This window comes from Homo sapiens, chromosome 19 (assembly GCF_000001405.40).
Source record: "Homo sapiens chromosome 19, GRCh38.p14 Primary Assembly".
NCBI classification, from domain to species: Eukaryota; Metazoa; Chordata; class Mammalia; order Primates; family Hominidae; genus Homo; species Homo sapiens.
Window position 1 is genome coordinate 5,455,086 of NC_000019.10, and position 21,095 is coordinate 5,476,180.

The following is a 21,095-nucleotide window of genomic DNA, read 5'->3' on the forward strand; positions in this document are numbered from 1 at the left end:
CTCTTGGAGTCTCAGACAAGGGTAACATTGAACCTTCTACAGTGTGTTGCTAGGAACCTCCAGAAGCTGATGCTGGTAGCGTCTTCGCACAGTGAGGGCTGAATCTGCACTGCTGGGGGCCGGCAGCCCTTTTGAAGCATCCCTGGGCCTCCTTGGGTCCAAAGATACCCTGAGCCTTCAAGAAGTTATCTCAAAGCTTGCCCGGGTACCGGCAAATCACAGACCTAGGAATGATCCATTGGCCACAGGCCCAGGCAGCTGGCAGCTCCTGGGACAGAATGTAGCAGGGCGATGTCACAGAAGCTGGGGGCATCTAGAACCCTGGTGACTCCTGGTCTCCATGTCATCTGCCAGAAAGGCCACCTGCGCCAGCACCTCCTGAGACCGGCCTTCAAAGACACGACGCATGCCGCTCTGCCGTCCGGAGCACTTAATGCCTAGAGCCAGCAGGGTCCCAGTGGCCGCGTCACTGCCTCTGAGCCACGCGGTCATTCCAACTCAACTGCCCTCGCGTCCTGGCCACAGGCCCCCTGGGAGACCCCGGAGATGCCCAAAGGCCTCATGCCTGCCGCCTCCAGTGGGACCTAGCAGCACACAGACAGCGAAGCGGGTGACCATGGGGTGGCCACGGCCGGGCCGAGCCCTCGTGGCAGTCAAAGCCTTGCTGGTCTTGTCGCTGCTCCAGGTGCCCGCGCAGGCAGTGGTACGGGCCGTGCTGGAAGACAACTCGAGCTCGGTGGACTTTGCGGATCTGCCGGCGCTGTTCGGCGTCCCCCTGGCCCCCGAGGGCATACGGGGCTACCTGATGGAGGTCAAGCCAGCCAACGCGTGCCATCCCATCGAGGCCCCGCGACTGGGCAACCGCTCTCTGGGCGCCATCGTGCTGATCCGCCGCTACGACTGCACCTTCGACCTCAAGGTGCTGAACGCCCAGCGCGCCGGCTTCGAGGCGGCCATCGTGCACAACGTCCACTCCGACGACCTCGTGAGCATGACCCACGTCTACGAGGACTTGAGGGGCCAGATCGCCATCCCCTCAGTGTTCGTGAGCGAGGCCGCCTCGCAGGACCTGCGGGTCATCCTGGGCTGCAACAAGTCGGCCCACGCGCTGCTCCTGCCCGACGACCCACCGTGCCACGACCTGGGCTGTCACCCCGTGCTGACCGTGTCCTGGGTGCTGGGCTGTACCCTGGCCCTGGTCGTATCAGCCTTCTTTGTCCTGAACCACCTGTGGCTCTGGGCCCAGGCCTGCTGCAGCCACAGACGGCCGGTGAAGACGTCTACCTGCCAGAAGGCCCAGGTCCGCACCTTCACGTGGCACAACGACCTGTGTGCCATCTGCCTGGATGAGTATGAGGAGGGCGACCAACTCAAGATCCTGCCCTGCTCCCACACCTACCACTGCAAATGCATTGACCCCTGGTTCTCCCAAGCCCCCCGGCGCTCCTGCCCCGTGTGCAAACAGTCGGTGGCCGCCACAGAAGACAGCTTTGACTCCACCACCTACAGCTTCAGGGACGAGGACCCCTCCCTACCGGGCCACCGGCCCCCCATCTGGGCCATTCAAGTCCAGCTACGCTCCCGGAGGCTGGAGCTGCTGGGCCGCGCCAGTCCCCACTGCCACTGCAGCACCACGTCCCTGGAGGCAGAGTATACCACTGTCTCCTCAGCCCCTCCTGAGGCCCCTGGTCAGTAAAGATCTAGGGCAGGGAGGGGGGTGCAATGAGGAATGTTTCTGGTCTGAAAAGAATAAAGTGGGTTTGAAAGCGGATTCTCAGCCTCGCTGCTGTTGGGCCACCCGCCTCTGACTGGGGTTGGGGGACACCCATCCCCATCAAGCCTAAGGCCAATCCCCGTTTCTGCGGGCGGGAGAGCGAGGGGTGGTGAGGGCTGGGGGGCCTTTTTGGGGCGGCTGTGACCGTGGTGCCGGAGTGGCTTTGAGACGGGTCGTCTGTGCTTTGGTTCCAGTCCCGGGCACACGGGTCACTCATCCTGGATGGCCTTATTCTTCATTCACATTTTTTCTTTTAAAATAAACGTTTTATTTTGGAACTGGTTTAGATTTCCAGAAAAGTTGCAAAGGTGCCATAGAGTTCTCCAACCCCTTTTACTCCGTTTCCTCTTATGTCTCATGGGATCCCAGGTGTGATGGGATGGGAGGCCGAGGTGGGAGGTTCGCTCAAGGTTAGAGGTTTGAGACCAGCCTGGGCAACATAACAAGACCCCACCTCTACAAAAAAATTTTCTTAGGCCGGGCGTAGTGGCTTACGCCTGTAATCCCAGCACTTTAAGAAGCCAAGGCGGGCGGATCATGAGGTCAGGAGATCAAGACCATCCTGGCCAACATGGTGAAACCCTGTCTCTACTAAAAACTACAAAAATGAGCTGGGCGTGGTGGTGCGTGCCTGTAGTCCCAGCTGCTCGCTACTCAGGAGGCTGAGGCAGGAGAATTGCTTGAACCCAGGAGGTGGAGGTTGCAGTGAGTTGAGATCACGCCACTGCACTCCAGCCTAGCGACAGTGAGGCTCCGTCTCAAAAAAGAAAAAAAAATTCATTAGCCAAGTGTGGTGATACATGCCTGTAGTTCCAGCTACTTGGGAGGCTGAGGTGGGAGGATTGCTGGAGCCTGGGAGGTGAGCTATGATCACACCACTGCACTTCAGCTCGGGCAACAGAGTGAGACCCTGTCTCAAAAAAAAAAAAAAAAAATGCAAGGAGGCAAGGGAGTTTTCTGGGCAGTGAGGGGGCTGTTTGACCATGCTCCGACGAGAAATAGCTACTAGGTGAGGTCATAGGAGCAAAAGGGTCAAGGTCGCCTCTGAGACATTCCCTGGAACAGTGTGAATGTGAGAGTCACGTGCAAGATTCCGACTGAAGCCCAAGCAACCTCCAGAGAGCGCCCACTCTGTGCCAGACGCGGTTCCAGGCACACAGACACAGCAGTGAACAAAACAGGGGAAAGTCCCTGCTCTCCAGGGACTGCTATTCCAGGGTGGGGGATAGATACAAAGTATATAATTAAATAAATGAGCAGGGAGATGTCAGCACGAGATAAATCCTGGGGCTAAAACACAAGGGGGTCATGAGATGGAGAGAGCTTGGCGGATGATCAGGGAGATCACGGAGGAAACATGAGAACCGAGACTCAGGGCCGGGCACAGTGGCTCACGCCTGCACTCCCAGCACTTCGGGAGTCTGAGGTTAGCAAATCGCTTGAGTCTAGGAGTTCGAGACCAGCCTGGGCAACATAGTGAAACTCCATCTCTCCAAAAAAATACAAAAATTAGCGGGGTATGGTGGTGCACACCTATAGTCCCAGCTACTCAGGAGGCTGAGACGGGAGGATCACCTGAGCCCAGGAGCTCAAAGCTGCAGTGAGCTATGATTGCACCACTGCACTCCAACCTGGGTGACAGAGTGAGACCCTGTCTCAACAAAAACAAAAACAAAAAACACAAACTGAGACTGAAAGGGGAGGAAGGAGGCGTTAGTGCAGGAAGGATATTCCAGGCAGAGTGTACAGCCCATGCAAAGGCCCTGCGACAGGACTGCACCTGACATGTTGGAGGAACAGCCAGAAGCCCATATGGCAGCAGCAGAGTGAGTCAGAGGGGAGAGGGAGGAGCGTGGGAAGGGGATAGGGCAGGTCGTGCAGGCCCTCGTAGAGCTTAGTAAGGAACAGATTTTGGGCCAGGTGTGGTGGCTCACGCCTGTAATCCCAGTACTTTGGGAGGCCGAGGCGGGCAGATCACGAGGTCAGGAGATCAGGATTATCCTGGCCAACACGGTGAAACCCCATCTGTATTAAAAATACAAAAAATTAGCCAGGCGTGGTAGCGTGCACCTGTAACCCCGGGTACTCGGGAGGCTGAGGCAGGAGAATCGCTTGAACCTGGGAGGCGGAGGTTGCAGTGAGCTGAGATCGCGCCACTGCACTCCAGCCTGGGGACACAGAGACACTCCGTCTCAAAAAAAAAAAAAGAAAAAAGAAACGGATTTGTTCTGGGGTGCTGACTAAAACCACTGGAGGGTCTGGGATCAGTGGCTCACGCCTGTAATCCCAGCACTTTGGGAGGCCGAGGTGGGTGGATCACCTGAGGTCAGGAGTTCGAGACCAGCCTGGTCAACATGGCGACACCCCATTTCTACTAAAAATACAAACATTAGCTAGGCATGGTAGTGCGTGCCTGTAATCCCAGCTACTCGGGAGGCTGAGGCAGAGAATCACTTGAATCTGGGAAGCAGAAGTTACAGTGAGCCAAGATCACGCCACTGCACTCCAGCCTGGGTGACCGAGGGAGACTCTGTCTCAGTAAAACAAAGGAAAGAAAAGAAAAGAAAAGAAGAGACACAGAGACAAAGACACAGGGAAGACAGCCACGTGACAACGAAGGTAGAGATTGGAATGATGCAGCCACAAACTTGTTACCTCCTCTTTTTATGAAGACACCAGTCATACTGGATTAGGGTCCATCTTAATGACCTCATCTTAACTTGATTACGTCTGCAAAGATCCTATTTCCAAATACGGTCGCATTCCCAGATATCAGAGGTCAGGACTTCAGCATATTTTTTGAGAGGATGCAATTCAACCCATAACATAGGGGTGAGAGGGAAGGAGGCCCAGCTTTGGGGAATTGCCAGACCTGGATTTGAAGCTGGCTTTGCTGTTTCTGGCTTTCTTTGAGATGATGGGCATGGCCATTTCTCTCTCTGATCTCTACTTTATGGATATGGAAAATGGACATCCTAACAGCACGTACCTCATATTGTTCCTGGGAGATTTTAAAGAGGTACTTCATGCAAATACAATTTTTTTTTTTTTTTTGAGACTGAGCCTCGTCGCCCAGGGTGGAGTGCAGTGGCATGATCTTGGCTCACTGCAACCTCCACCTCCCAAGTTCAAGTGATTCTTCTGCCTCAGCCTCCCAAGTAGCTGGGATTACAGGCATGTACCACCACACCTGGTTAATTTTTGTGTTTTTGGTAGAGACGTGGTTTCACCATATTCGCTAGGCTGGTCTCGAACTCCTGACCTCAAGTGATCCTCCCGCCATGGCCTCCAAAAATGCGAGGATTACAGGTGTGAGCCACTGCGCCCAGCCGGCAAATACAAAATTTAATGTGCTTCCTCCACCTCTTTGATTGCCACAGTGCTGGGTCTCACTTCCACACCTTTGCACAGGCAGTTTTCTCTGCCCAGAGTGCCCTCCACATGCCTCGCTCAGCCTAGCTCAACATTACCATTCCTTCAGTCCCTTGCACACATCTACAAAAAGGATCCCAAATACGAGAGTCAAGAGTCCTGGGTTTAGGCCAGGCACGGTGGCTCACACCTGTAATCCTAGCACTTTGGGAAGCCACGGCAGGAAGATTTCTTGAGCCCAGGAGTTCAAGACCAGCCTGGGCAACATAGCGAGATCCCATCTCTACAAATAAATTTTTAAAAATTAGCCAGGCCTGGTAGTGCCTGACTGTAGTCCCAGCCACTTGGGAGGCTGAGGCAGGAGGATCACCTGAGCCCAGGAGGTCAAGGCTGCAGTGAGCTATGATCACACCACTGCATTCCAGCTTAGCTTGGGTGACACAGACAATCTCAAAAAAAAAAAAAAAAAGTCCTAGGTTCAAATTCCCAGCCCTGCTACTTACTGTGAAGCCCCCTGAGAATGCCACTACCCCCTCAGAGTCTTGACTTGCTCCTCTGTAAATGAGGATAACAGTGCTAGCTACCTATGGCAGACATGTATTTGGGGCCAGCAGCACGGTGCAGCTGTGGGAAACTACCTGTCTTCCATTCTGAGTACACGTGGCTGCAAGGAGTGGGGAGAAGAGACCTTCTTCCAGATTCTGGGTAGTCACATGACCCAGGCCTAGCCAATGAAAGGATTGCACCCTCTAAGCCACAGTGATTGGTTCAGGATGGGACATGTGATCCAAGCTGGGCCAATGAGAGCCAGCCCTGGGATTTGTCCAAGAAGGATCAAAAAGAAGACTCTTCTGGAGAGGCACTGGTGCACGTCTGTAATCCCAGCACTTTGGGAGGCCTAGGTGGCTGGAACACTTGACATCAGGAGTCCAAGACCAGCCTGGGCAACATGGTGAAACCCTCATCTCTACTAAAAATACAAAAATTAGCTGGGCGTGGTGGTGGACGCCTGTAATCCCAGCTACCTAGGAGGCTAAGGCAAGATAATCACTTCAACCCAGGAGGTGGAGGTTGCAGTGAGCCGAGGTGCCCATCACTTACTTCTCCTCTGTATTAGTTCATTCTCACGCTGCTATGAAGAAATACCTGAGACTGGGTAATTTATAAAGGAAAGAGGTTTAATTGACTCACAGTTCTGCATGGCTGGGGAGGCCTCAGGAAACTTATAATCATGGCAGAAGGGGAAGCAAACGCGTCCTTCTTCACATGGTGGCAGGAGAGAGAAGTGAAGAGGAGGAAGCTCTTTATAAAACCAGCTGATCTCATGAGAACTCACTCACTCTCACAAGAACAGCATGGGGGAAATGCCCCCATGATCTAATCACATCCTATGGGGTCCCTTGCCCAACATGTGGGGATTACAATTCAGATTACAATTCAAGATGAGATTTGGGTGGGGACACAGAGCCATCCAGACCATATCACCCCCTCAGCATCTCAGCTTCCTCAGCTGTCAAATGACAGTGACTCAAGGCAGAGACCACATACGTTTTCTGCACATAGTTGCCCATGAGCCCTCCTATCACCATTTGAGCTTGGGGGATGTGATGTTCCCCGTTTCTCCCAGGAGGAAGCTGGCATACAGACAGGGGACCACCCCTGCCCAAGTGCCACAGCTAAGGAGAAGCTGCACCAGGCCTCAGCATCCGCCCTTCCCCACGCCTGGCTCCCCAAACCTCCTGCCTCACTGGCTGTGTCCCAGCTTGGCCCCTGCCAGGCCAGATGTCCGGCTGCAAATTAAACAGATTTGCTGTCCGAAATCAGACTGCTTCTTTTGTCTTTTCTCCCGTCCTGCTCCAAGGTCTCAGGTTTTATGCCAGGATAGCTAAACTCTCAGAGACAGAAAACATTGCTGGGATGGAAGATCTGTCTGTACAGGGTGATATGTCTTGGGTTGGCACATGCTACACTGCCTTGTCCAGCAGCCCACATTCTGCCTGGGGCTCCTGGTGACTAGGGGTTGGAAGAAGAGAGAGAAACCCATGGGTGGAACACATTGGTGGGGATCAGACATTATTGCACTGTACCTTTTCATGGACAGGCAGAGAAATGTAGCCCAGAGAGAGGCGGGCCCAGCACATGCTCATCCAGTGTGTTGGGGACAAAGACAAGATTCAAATTCATGTCACCTGACTCCGGTGGGCTGGCACTTCCCTAAGTCTTGTCTGGGTAGCTCATGAGTCAACAAATAATTGGCGCGGCCAGGCCAATTGAGTGAGACCCAGCATGGTGTCTCACTCCTGTAATCCCAGAACTTTGGGAGGCTGAGGCAAGAGGATCACTTGAGCCCAGAAGTTTGAGACCAGCCTGGGCAACATATCTAGACCGTGTCTCTAGCAAAAAAAAACGAACAAAAAAATTAACCAGGTGTGGTGGTGCATGCCTGTAGTACCAGCTACTTGGGAGGCTGAGATGGGAGGGTCACTTGAGCCCAGGAGTTCGAGGCTGCAGTGAGCTGAGATTGTGCCACTGCACTCCAGCCTGAGCAACAGAGTGAGAACCTATCTCAAAAACAACACCACCAAAAAAAACCCCAAAAAACAAAAATAAAAACCAGACACACAGCCTTGGGGACCTGTCCTCGCACACCACTCCACTCCCACTACTCCCACACTCTGCGCTGGGTTTAGATTTTCTTCACTGGGGTGTTTTGCTGATCAGCTTTTAATTTTACTATAGTGAAATCGGCCAATTCGTTTTCTTTTAGGATTCTTGCTCCCTGTGTCCAAAGAAACCTTTGCCTACCCTGAAGCCACAAAAATATTGTTTTTATTCTCCTCTAAAATTTTTGTAATTCAAGCTTTCATGTTTCATCTATGATGCATCTTGAATTGATTTTTGTGTATGGTGTGAGGTAAGGGTTAGGGTTCTTTATTTCCCCACACAGGTAGCCAGTTGTTCCAGAGGCTTTTGTTGAAAATACTTGCCTTTTGTCACTGGATCATCTAAAAGCAAATGACCATGTATGTATATGTTGGGGGGGGGGGATGTCTTTTTCTGTGTTCTCTATTCTGTTTCATGGATCTATTTGTCAATCCTTATGCCAATACCCTTGCCTTGTTTACTGTAGCTTTATTAGACATAGACTTCCTTTCTTCTTTTCCTTCTCCTTCTTTCTTCTTCTTCTTCTTCTTCTTCTTCTTCTTCTTCTTCCTCTTCCTCTTCTTCTTCTTCCTCTTCTTCTTCCTCTTCTTTAGACAGAGTCTTGCTCTGTTGCCCAGGCCAGAGTGCAATGACACAATCACAGCTCACTGCAACCTTGACCTCCTGGGCTCAAGTGATCCTCCCACCTCAGCCTCCCAAGTAGCTGGGACTACAAGCATGTGCCAGAACGACTGGATAATTTATTTATTTTTTGTAGTGATGGGATCTTGCTATGTTGCCCAGACTGGTCTCAAACTCCTGGCCTCAAGCAATCCTCCTGCCTCGACCTCCCAAATTGCTGGGATTGCAGGCATGAGCCACTGTGCCCAGCCTGGACATAGATTTCAAAGAGCAAGATCCATGTGGTATCAGCTCCATATACAGACTTCCAGCAGGACCAAGGGAGCTGTTGGGAGATGGAAGCACTGGTGTTTTCTCCAGGGATTCATCCATGGATGAGCATTCCTCTAAAGTAGCATCTCATAGCATCTTTGCTCCTAGAACACACTTCATTCTTGAGCTGACACCCAATCATACTTCCTGAGCACCTGGGATTTGTTGATTGGTGTCATCTCATTTGTTTATTCATCACAAATTTGCTAAGCACCTTCTACGTGCCAGAGCCTGTGTTGGGCACTGGGACACAAAACTGACCACAACAAACCCAGCCCCCACCTTCGCAAATTCTGTCCAGTGGAGGAGGCAAATATTGAACTATGTTTGAACAACTGAACAAGAATGTTTCAAACAGTGGTGAGTCCCAGGAGAGAAATAAGGAGATAAGATAAAGCGTGTGAGAGGCAGGATCAATCAAAGAATGCTAGAATTACTGGGTGAAAGTTGAGGGAGAAAGAGGATATTTGCCCAGTCTCAAAGTAACTCTCTCATGATATTTATTCACTGGAAAAGAATAAAGATAACTTTCTGGGGGGAAATCTAGCTGGTACCACCTTAGCCAAGGGATCAAAATTAATGCCCCCAGCAACAAGACACATTGACAGTGTGTGCCTCCTGATCTGCTGTTCTGAGGGGACCACAGCACCATCTCAGTGGGATCTGGACAGAAATGCAGAATCCCCATCTAATCATGATTAGACACTAGAAAAGCCTGAATTGAGTGACCTTCTGTAAAACACCTGGCCAGTGCTCTTCAAAAGAGTCAAGGTTGACTGGGCATGGTGGCTCATGCCTGTAATCCTAGCACTTTTGGAGGCCAAGGCAGGAGGATTGCTTGAGACCAAGAGTTGGAGACCAGCCTGGACAACATAGTGAGACACCATCTCTACAAAGAAAAAATTAAAATTAGCTGGGTGTGGCCAGGCGCGGTGGCTCACACTTGTAATCCCAGCACTTTGGGAGGCCGAGGCAGGTGGATCACGAGGTCAGGAGATCGAGACCATCCTGGCTAACATGGTGAAACCCTGTCTCTACTAAAAAAACACAAAAAAGTTAGCCGGGCGTGGTGGCATGCACCTGTAGCCCCAGCTGCTCTGGAGGCTGAGGCAGGAGAATGGCTTGAACCTGGGAGGCGGAGGTTGCAGTGAGCTGAGATTGCGCCACTGCACTCCAGGCCGGGTGACAGAGCGAAACTCTGTCTCAACAAAAAATTAATTAATTAATTAATTAATTAAATAAAATTAGCTGGGTGTGGTGGTCCATGCTTGTAGACCCAGCTACTCGGGAGGCTGAGGCCGGAGGATCACTTGAAGCCAGAAGTTGCAGCCTGCAGTCAGCTATGATTACACCACTGCACTCCAGCCTGGGCAACAGAGCGAGACCCTATCTCTAACAAAAAGAGAGAGAGAAGGAGTCAGTGGCCGGCAGACAGGGTGGTTGGGAACGTCCTGTGTGAGTAGGAGGAATTTAAACTGAAGCGTGGAGAGTAAGGAGACAGGATGGGAGAAGATCGGAGTTGCAGGGGGTGGGAACAACATGAGCACATGTCCCATGGCAGGAGGGGTTGGTGTGTCAGAAGAGGAGAAGAGAGTGTGGCTGGTGTGGACGGCAGGAGTGAAGAGGTAATGGGGCTGATGATGAAGGGCCTTGTCAGCCACGATGAACAGTTTGCATTTTCTTGCCTGTGCAATTCAGAGCCTGTTCTATTTGAGTTCCCCCAAAGCAGCCCCCCAGACAAGGATTTCAGGACAAGTGGTGTATGTGGGAGATAAACCCAGGAAGCCCTAGGAAGCGTGTGGGAAGGTCCAAGAGGGAAGAGAAGCAGCAAACAGGGGTGCTTTTGTGAGCCAGGGGCAGGTGGAGTTCAGTCCCACTGGGGACCTTGGGGAGCCTGTGTTGACTGTGAAACTCAGAATTGCCCCACCTGGCCAGGTGCGGTGGCTCACACCTGTAATTCCAGCACTTTGGGAGGCCAGGGAAGGCAGATCCCTTGAGGTCAGGAGTTCGAAACCAGCCTGGCCAACATGGTAAAACTCCATCTCTACTAAAAATACAAAAATTAGCCAGGAGTGGTGGCGGGTGCCTGTAATCCCAGCTACTCAGGAGGCTGAAGCAGGAGAATCGCTTGAACCTGGGAGGCAGAGGTTGCAGTGGGCCGAGATAGCACCATTGCACTCTAGCCTGGGCGACAGAGTGAGACTCCGTCTCAAAAAAACAAAAACAAAAACAAAAAACAAACAAACAAAAAGAATTGCCCCACCCCAAGGACAAGGGATTTATGCAAAAGCCAGTGCACCATCGGTTGGGGGTTGCTGGGAGGAGTAGTGTGAATTCTGTGATACTTCCAGCCCACCACGGGCAATGTCAGAGCAGGCTTGGACAGACAGACCGAGTTGGAATCCCAGCCTGCACTTCCAGGAAACAGGGAGGACCCCAGGGATCTGAGCAGGAGGCCAATGGCGTCATGTCCAGAGTCCACAGAGCTTCACTGACCAATACGGGAGCTGCCGGCTACATGTGAATATTTAAAGTCATTCAAATGAAATAAAATTTAAAATGCAGGTCCTCACTCACACTGGCCACATTGCAAGCACCCTATAGCTGCATGGGGGTGGCTGTGTTGGCTGGCGTGGGTCTAGAACATTCCACGCATCCCAGAAAGTACTAATAAACAGCCCTGTGCTAGACAATGTTGATCAAGAGAGTGATACAATCCTATTTTGACTCTAAGAAGATCTCTCTCTTAAGAGAAAACAGCTAGTTGGGAGTGCAGGTGGAAGTTAGAAACCCGGAAAAGTGTCTGGGGCAGGTGTCCAGGCTGGAGGTGATAAAAGCTCAGACCAGTGCAGTAGTAGTAGGGGTGGGGCAAAGCCATTTGGAAGAAGCATCAACAGAAAGTCCTGCCCATTCAGACGTGAGGGGTAAGGGGAGAGGAGAAAGAGAAGGGGAAACCTGGACTCTGATGTGAGTGACAGGTGGAGATGGTCACCCAAGAGGAGAAGCAGATTTGGGGCAGATACTGAGCTGCTTCTGGGCCTTGCTGGGTCTGAGGGGTCAGAGGGAACTCCAGGAGGACGTGCAGTTGGCAGCTGGACTCTGATGGCGGAGACCTGGGCAGACATGAGAATCTGGGCCCACGGGGTATTTTGGCCACAGGCCCAGCTGGCAACCGCTGGGCTGTGATGTAACTTGTCAGGCGGAAGCCGAGCCCCGTCCCCAGGCTCAGAGGCACAGCTTGCCTAAATGCTAACAAGTTTTGCCTCCAAATGGTGGTGGGGTGTGCGTGTGTGTATGTGTGTGTTTAATTCTGGAATGAATTTAATTCTAATTCCGCCGACTTTGGGGATGGGAAACAGCTGTCTTAATGAGTTAACAGTGGGTTTAAAATAGCAAGCATCTGTTCGCTGTCTGAGCCAGCACCCGCTGAGGCCACTCCCAGGCTGCAGGGCTCAGTTTTGGGGGGGCCCTGGTTGCAGCTCTGGAGATAGTAGGGAACAGAGGGCTGGCAGTCCTGAGACCCCAGTGCCAGGCGAGTGTCCTGCCCCCTCCTGGGATTTCTGGTGCCTCGTTTGTGAAAACCGGGCCTGTTGAACCACCGTGCTTGAGCCAGAACCTGCGCAGGGGGCTATGAGCACCATGAGTGGGCCAGGCTGCTGCTGCGGGGGTGGCAGGTGGTAAGCCCGTCCCCACCCTCCTCAGATGCTTCCTGGCTGAGTGGCCAGAAATGCCTGTGCCTCAGTTTTCCCATCTGTGAATGGAGATGGTGTTAAGAAGTTTAGAGACATTAAGACATGTAAAGTGTGTGCTTATGACCGTGCCAGGCAGACAGTCAACACTGTGGGAATATGTAAAGAGTGTCTAAAAAGCAAATACAGGCTGGGTGCGGTGGCTCACGCCTGTAATCCTAGCACTTTGGGAACTGAGACGGGAGGATTGCCTGAGCCCGGGAATTCAAGGCCAGCCTGGGCAACACAGTAAGACCCTGTCTCTAAAAAAAATTAAAAATTTAGCCAATTGTGGCAGCACACACCTGTAGTCCCAGCTACTTGGGAGGCTGAGCTGGGAGGACATCTTGAGCCCGGGAGTTTGAGGCTGCAGTGAGCCGTGATCATGCCACTGCACTCCAGCCCAGGTGACAGAGCAAGACCCTGTTTCAAAACAAACAAACAAACAAACAAACAAACAAGACTGGGCACAGTGACGCATGCCTGTAATCCCAACACTTTGGGAGGCCGAGGCAGGAGGATCACTTGAGCTCAGGAGTTCAAGAACAGCCTGGGCAACATAGCAAGATCCCATCTCTACAAAAAAATTTAAAATTAGCTGGGCAGGCCGGGCACGGTGGCTCATGCCTGTAATCCCAGCACTTTGGGAGGCCAAGACGGGTGGGTCACCTGAGGTTAGGAGTTCAACACCAGCCTGACCAACATGGCAAAACCCCATCTCTACTAAAAATACAAAAAGTAGCCAGGCGTGGTGGCACATGCCTGTAGTCCCAGCTACTCAGGAGGCTGAGTCAGGAGAATCGTTTGAACCCCAGAGGCAGAGGTTGCAGTGAGCCAAGATGGCACCACTGTACTCCAGCCTGGGAACAGAGCAAGACAGTGTCTCAAAAAAAAAAAAAACAAAAAAAACTAGCTGGGCATGGTGGCACACGCCTGTGGTCCCAGCTACTTGAACCACACAAGGCTGAGGTGGGAGGATTGCTTGAGCCCAGGAGCTCAAGGCTGCAGTGAGCTATGATTGTGCCACTGCACTTCAGCCTGGGCAACCAAGTGAGACCCTTTCTCAAAAAAAAAAAAAAAAAAAACAGGCCGGGCGCGGTTGCTCACTCCTGTAATCTCAGCACTTTGGGAGGCCAAGGCGGGTGGACCAGGAGGTCAGGAGATTGAGACCAGCATGGCTAACACGGTGAAACCCCGTCTCTACTAAAAATACAAAAAATTAGCTGGGCGTGGTGGCGGGCACCTGTAGTCCCAGCTACTTGGGAGGCTGAGGCAGGAGAACGGCTTGAACCCGGGAGGCAGAGGTTGCAGTGAGCCGAGATAGCACCACTGCACTCCAGCCCGGGCAACACAGCGAGACTCCGTCTCAAAAAAAAAAAAAAAACAAAAAAAAACCAGAAAGTAAACGCAGCATCCGTCGCTTAATGATGGGGATACTCTCTGAGGAATGGGTGATCAGGTGATTTTGTCCTGTGTGAACATCACAGAATGTGCTTACACACTTCTAGATGGTAGAGCCTTCTGCACACCTACGCCATACGGTATGCTTGAGAGCCTAGTGCTCTCAAGCTATAAACCTGCAGAGCATGAGACTGCATTGAACACAGCAGGCAACTGTAACACAATGGTAAGTACTGTGTCTCTAAACATATCTAAGGGCCGCGCATGGTGGCTCACATCTATAATTCCAGCACTTTGGGAGGCCTAGGTGGGCGGATCACCTGAGATTGGGAGTTCGAGACCAGCCTAGCCAACACAGTGAAACTGTCTCTACTAAAAATACGAAAATTAGTCGGGTGTGGTGGTGCACGCCTGTAATCCCAGCTATTTGAGAGGCTGAGGCAGGAGAATCGCTTGAATCCGGGAGGCGGAGTTTGTAGAGAGCTGAGATGGTGCCACTGCACTCCAGCCTGGGTGACAGCACGAGACTCTGTCTCAAAAAAAAAAAAAAGAGAGAGAGAGAGAGAAGCTGAAGGTGTCCAGGTGCCCACAAATGCATCCAGCCTAGTGCTCACCTGCCTGAGGGGGTCTGGGGAAGGGGGGAGCCTTTGCCCCAGCAGAAGGAAGGAGTTGGTGTCCACGGCTGCACCTTCGCAAGGGGGCTGGCTGTGTAGGGGGAAAGTTGTCGGTGATAGGGGGTCTGAGTCCACGACTCAGCTCTTGGAGAATCCTGGAGACCCCCATATCATTAGAGAAAGTGGCCAGCACCCTCTCCTTTCTCAAAAGATTAACAGACACTCAGCTGTTCATTTGATAGTGTGGGGATTTACAGCCCAGTCTTGGGATCAGAGAGACCCGGGTCCAGTTCAGCCTCTGAAACTTCTTGACTGTGTGACCTTGGGTGAGTGTGTTTACCTCTCTGGACTTGGACAGTCCTGGGTTCAAGTCCCTGCTCATCAGCCACATGATCTGTCCTCAGTTTCCCCTTCTGAAAAGTGAAATGCCCATAGTCACTGAGCTGTCTAAAGCATAAAACAAGATAGCCCACCCCAGCCCTCCAGATGTGCTGTCATTGTGTTTATTATTTATTTATTCATTGATTGAGATGGAGTCTCGCTCTGTTGCCCAGGCTGGAGTGCAGTGACGCCATCTTGGCTCACTGCAACCTCCACCTCCCAGGTTCAAGCGATTCTCCTGCCTCAGCCTCCAGAGTAGCTGGGATTACAGGTGCCCGCCACTGCACCCAGAGAATTTTTGTATTTTTAGTAGAGGCGGGGTTTCACCATGTTGGCCAGGCTGATCTCAAACTCCTGACCTCAGGTGATCCGTCCACCTCCGCCTCCCGGAGTGCTGGGATTACAGGCCTGGACCATCGCGCCCGGCCTATCATTGTGTTTAAAGTCCACAGCTCCTAATTGCTGAAAAAGTCAAACACACGCTTCCCCTATGACCCAGCCACGCCTCTCCTAGGTATTTATTTACCCAAGAGAAACGATGCCTACATCCACACCAAGACTCGTACAGACTTGTTCAGAGCAGCTTTATGCATACCAGCCCCAAACTGGAAATAATCCAAATGTTTACCCACAGGTAAACAGATAAGCAAACAGTGGTCCATTCAGACCACAGTATTCTGTTCGGCCATAAAAAGGAAAAGGGCACTGATTGACCCAACAGCAGGGCTGAGCCTGGAAATCAGTAATGCTGAGGAATAAAAGTCAGACGTAAAAAGAGTACGCACTGGTGACATCCAGAAAATGCAGACTCATTTATAGGAACCCTAAGCAGACCAGTGGGTGCCTGGAAAGGGTTGGGGACAGGAAGGAGGGGAAGGAGGGGGAGGGGTTACAAAGGGAGTAATGTATTCATTTTGTTGGTGATGGACATGTTCACTGTTTCCATTATGCAGATGGCTTTATGGATATATGTGTCTAGATAATCCACTCCCCGCAAATGACTCCTGGCTGCCTGGCCACAACCGTCCTGTGCCTCATTTTCCTCATCTGTAAGCAGAGATGTTGTTAAAAAGTTTAGAGGCTGCCAGGCGCGGTGGCTCACACCTGTAATCTCAGCACTTTGGGAGGCTGAGGCGGGCAGATCACCAGAGGTCAGAAGTTCGAGACCAACCTGGCCAACATGGCGAAATCCCATCTCTACGAAAAGTACAAAAATTAGGCATGGTGGCGGGCACCTGTAATCCCAGCTACTCGGGAGGCTGAGGCTGGAGAATCGCTTGAACCTGGGAGGCAGAGGTTGCAGTGAGCCGAGATCCTGCCACTGCACTCCAGCCTGGGTGACAAGAGGGAGACTCCATCTCAAAAAAAAAAAAAATGTTTAGAGGCCACGCCTGTAATCCCAGCACTTTGGGAGGCTGAGGTGAGAGGATCACTTGAGGTCAGAAGTTCCACACCAGCCTGGGCAACGCAACAAAAAACAGTATCGCTACAAAAAACACAAAAATTTAATTAGCCAGGCATGGTGATGTGCACCTGTGGGCCTAGCTACTCAAGAGGCTGAGGTACGAGGATCACTTAAGCCCAGGAAGTCTAGGCTGCAGCGAGCCGTGATCGCGCCACAGCACTCCAGCCTGGACAACAGACTAACACCCTGTCTCAAAAAAAAAATTTTTTTAAAACCTCACTTTACCTCAGTAAAACTATAAACACACAATACAAGCTCTTCCTCCAAAAATACCTAGCCTGGCACCCATCATGCATGGGGTACCCACTGGATTGGGGACTTCATGACCTTAATGGAGACAGGGACCAGTGTGGGGTGGAGGAGAACTTAGGAGAAGCTCCCACTTCCTTTTTTTTTTTTTTTTTTTAAATTGAGACAGAGTCTCACTCTGTCACCCAGGCTGGAGTGCAGCGGCGCGATCTTGGCTCATGGCAACATCCGCCTCCCAAGTTCAAGCAATTCTCCCGCCTCAGCCTCCCAAGTAGCTGGGATTACAGGCACACACTGCCACGCCCGGCTTTTTTTTTTTTTTTTTTTTGAGACGGAGTCTTGCTCTGTCACCCATGCTGGAGTGCAGTGGTGTGATCTTGGCTCACTGCAACCTCTGCCTCCCAGGTTCAAGCGATTCTCTTGCCGCAGCCTCCCGAGTAGCTAGGATTATAGGCGCACACCACCACGCCCGGCCAATTTTTTGTATTTTTAGTAGGGACAGGGTTTCACCATGTTGGCCAAGGTGGTCTTGAACTCCTGACCTCAAGTGATCTGCCTGCCTTGGGCTCCCAAAGTGCTGGGATTACAGGTGTGAGCCACTGCACCCAGGCAGCTCCCACTTCTCGAATCACCCTCCCCCACATCTATACCCCACTACCCCGATCCCTGGGAAAAGGAATCTGGGCCCCGTCAGCCTTCGCCTCTCCCAGGCCACAACAAGTAATTTCTGAACGTTGTTCACTCTGCCAACAAGAGACAAGATTAATTATGGCCATAACACACCAGGCGCCGCCTAAATCTTTCATAGATCCATGCGCGCACTCACACACGCCTGCACACGCTCACACACAGCCTGCGGCTGGCTCTCTCATTCCTCTGGATTTTGCATTTCTTTGAAAGATGCTGCAGGTGGACACGAGGGGAGATGCCTCCTCTCCCTCCTTGTCTCTTTCACCTGCCTGAGCGGATCTTGGGGAGGAAGGGAGCTTTCGCCCCAGCGAGAGGAAGGAGTCAGTGTCCACGGGGGCATCTTTGCAAGGGGGTTGGCTGTGTAGGGAGGAAGTTATCAGTGATAGGGGGTCTGGGACCATGACCCGGCTCTTGGGGTAAACCTGGAGATCCCTGTGTCATTAGGGAAAGTGGCCAGCACCCTCTCCTTTCCCAAAAGATGAACAGACACTCATCTATTCATTTGACAGTGTGAGGGTTTACAGACCAGTCTTGGGACCAGAGAGACCAGGTCCCATTCAGCCTCTGAAACTTCTTGACTATGTTGTGTGATCTTGGGTGAATGTTTTTAACCTCTCTGGGCCTCAATTTTCTCATCTGCAAAATGGGGGTAATAATATTAATAGTATCCTATGTCGTGGGGTTGCTGTGAGGCCTAAAGCAGATCTAAATTCCTTAGAAAGTTCTCAGTGTAGGGCCAGGTATACAGTAGGAGTTCAATCAATTAGCTATCATGAGAGTTTTTTGTTTGTTTTTGACACGTAGTTTTGCTCTTGTCGCCCAGGCTGGAGTGCAGTGGCATGATCTCGGCTCACTGCAACCTCCACCTCCTGGGTTCAAGCAATTCTCCTGCCTCAGCCTCCTGAGTGGCTGGGATTACAGGCATGTGCCACCACGCCCAGCTAATTTTTGTATTTTTAGTAGAGACAGGGTTTTGCCATGTTGTCCAGGCTGGTCTTGAATTCCTGACCTCAGGTGATCCACTGCCTTGGCCTCCCAAAGTGCTGGGATTACAGGCGTGAGCCACCATGCCCAGCCAGGTTGGGGTTTAAGCATCGGGCCCTGAGCTCAGGAAAGGTCACCTCCTGTGCTCAGATCTTATTTCTTATTTTTTCATCCTTGCATTTTATATATGGAGGCTCAAAGCCATGAAAGGGCTTAGTGAGGGACTCATACACCAGGATGTGGCCAAAGGAATTCCGAGATGCCTCAGTGATCTTGAGACCTCTTCTGTTTGCCAGTGAGGAAACTGAGGCCCAGAGAGGGGCAGAGTTGACTCTCAGGCCTCTACTTCCCGGCTCAGTCCTGGGTCTCTTGAACTCCAGATATTCCCAGTCACATCCCTGCCTGTCCTTGGTACTGCAGCCGCAGAAGCTGCCTGCCTGCAATTTACCAAATGTGACAGCATCTTGGCCCCAGTAGTGCAACCCAAGCCAGTGGCATCTGCGGGGCTGTCACCTCCCATGCCAGGTCTGAGTGATGGTTGGAGGGGGTGAGAGACAAACACTTACTGTGTGCCCGAGCCCAGCTGGCTAGGTGCTTCTGCAGACTTGGCGGATGACTGAAGACACTCAGTGACCCCAAGGACAAGTGGCACATGACCCCATTAGGCAGATGTGGAAACTGAGGCTCCAGGATGGATGGAAACACTGCAGGATTCCTTCCCGCTGGTGGGCCCTGGACCGGGGGTTGCAGACTTAGCTGTGAGCAAAACAGACCTGGCCCCTACCCTCCTGGGCTCTCATGGCATGGGGAAGATGAGCCCTGAGCATTAACATTATAAATAGTTATTAGTGGCTCACCCCTGCAATCCCAGCACTTTGGGAGGCCGAGGTGGGCAGATCACCTGAGGTCAGGAGCTCAAGACCAGCCTGGCCAACATGGCGAAACCTCGTCTCTACTAAAAATACAAAAATTAGCCGGGCGTGGTGGTGCGCGCCTGTAATCCCAGCTACTCGGGAGGGTGAGGCAGAAGAATCACTTGAACTCGGGAGGCAGATGTTGCAGTGAGCCGATATTGTGCCACTGCACTCCAGCCTGGGTGACAGAGCAAGATTCTGTCTCAAAAAAAAAAGCTATGCAGTCTGCTGGGTAATGAATCCTATGAAAATTAAAGCAAGAAGGGGCATGGGGTGCCAGAGATTCCATGGAAGAAAGTGAAAGTTAGAAACTAAGGTGGGCAATGTGTCAGGGAGGCCTCACTGAGCAGGTGACATCTCAGCAGATACTTGAAAGAGGCAGGGAGGGAGCCGTGTGGTGACTGGAGAAGAGTGTTGGAAACAGAGGGCACAGCCCGTGCAAAGACCCTATGGCAGAACCTCGCCTGGCATGTTGGAGGAACAGCGAGGAGGCCCATGTGGCTGGAGCAGAGTGAGGAAGGGGAGACACGGAGGGAGGGAGGGGAGGGGAGGGAGGGGACGGGCCAAGTCATGCAGGGCTTTGCGGGCTGCAGAGAGGACTTGGGCTTTGACTCTGAGGGAGGCGGGAGCCATGGAGGGCTGTAGGCAGAGGAGGGACGGAACCTGATTCAGGTGTCCACAGAGTGAAGGTGGAGGAGGGTGGGCCACTTTAGCCCAGGTAGTCTGGGACGGCTACTCTAAAGAGGTGACCTTGGAGTTCCAGTTGAGTGGGGAGCAGCCTTGAGATGCTCTAGGGCAAGAAAGGGCATTCCAGGCTGGATTGCTTCTAAAAAGCTTGGCCTATTTGAAGAATGCCAGACAGACAGTGTGGCTGGAGTGAGCTGGGAGGAAAGCAGAGGAGAAGGACCTGATTGGGGGTTCTGGACCCCCCAGAACACTGAAGACAACAGTGACAGCTTTCATTATTATTTCTATTATTATTATTTTGTAGAAATGGGGTCTTGCTATGTTGCCCAGGCTGGTCTCGATCTCCTGGCCTCAAGCGATCCTCCCACCTCAGCCTCCTGAGTAGCTGGGACCTCAGGCACATGCCATCACACCCAGCTAATTTTTTTTTAATTTTTTGCAGAGATCGGATCTCGCTATGTTGCCCAGGCTGGTCTTGAACTCCTGGCCTCAAGCAATTCTCCTGCCTCAGCCTCCTGAAGTGCAGGGATTACAGGTGTGAACCACTGTGCCCTGCCAGAGCCCTAGAGTTTTAATCTTGATCTAAGGAAATAGCAAGTCATGGCAGGGCTTTCAGCAGGGGAGGGACAAAATCAGATGGACAGGGTGGTGCAGCAGACAGAACAATGCCGCCCAAAGATGTCCACATCCTAATTCTTAGAACAGAATCCTTAGACTGTATTATGTTACATGATGTAGTGGGTTGAAAAGCACACTCCTAGGCCGGGCATGGTGGCTCAGCCTGTAATCCCAGCACTTTAGGAAGCTGAGGTGGGGGCGGATCATGAGGTCAGGAGTTCGAGACCAGCCTGGCCAACGTGGCGAAACCCCGTCTCTACTAGAAATACAAAAATTAGCTGGGCATGGTGGCATGTGCCTGTAATCCCAGCTACTCAGGAGGCTGAGGCAGGAGAATTGGTTGAACCTCGGAGGCGGAGGTTGCAGTGAGCTGAGATCATGCCACTGCACTCCAGCCTGGGCAATGGAGCAAGATTCCGTCAAAAAAAGAAGGAAGGAAGGAAGGAAAGGAGGGAGGGAGGGAGGGAGGGAGAAGCACGCTCGTCTGCCCCATCAAATTCACGTCCATCCAAAATCTCAGAATGGCATTGTATTTAGAGATAGCATCTTTGCCAGCCTGGACAACACGGTGAAACCCTGTCTCTCCAAAAACTACAAAAATTAGCCGGGCATGGTGGCTCG

General features: G+C 52.0%; 1 protein-coding gene across 1 annotated transcript; it reads left to right on the top strand.

The window, feature by feature from the left end:
• The first annotated feature begins 331 nt into the window (after positions 1-331).
• On the top strand, positions 332-1,771 carry ZNRF4 (zinc and ring finger 4). The gene has a single exon (NM_181710.4). The coding sequence runs from the start codon at positions 407-409 to the stop codon at positions 1,694-1,696; it is 1,290 nt and encodes a 429-aa protein (NP_859061.3). The 5' UTR covers positions 332-406; the 3' UTR covers positions 1,697-1,771.
• Positions 1,772-21,095: the final 19,324 nt, after the last annotated feature.

Excerpts from the sequence above, each read along its gene's own strand:
- ZNRF4 (NM_181710.4), top strand. The coding sequence starts at position 407 with ATGCCGCTCTGCCGTCCGGAGCACTTAATGCCTAGAGCCAGCAGGGTC.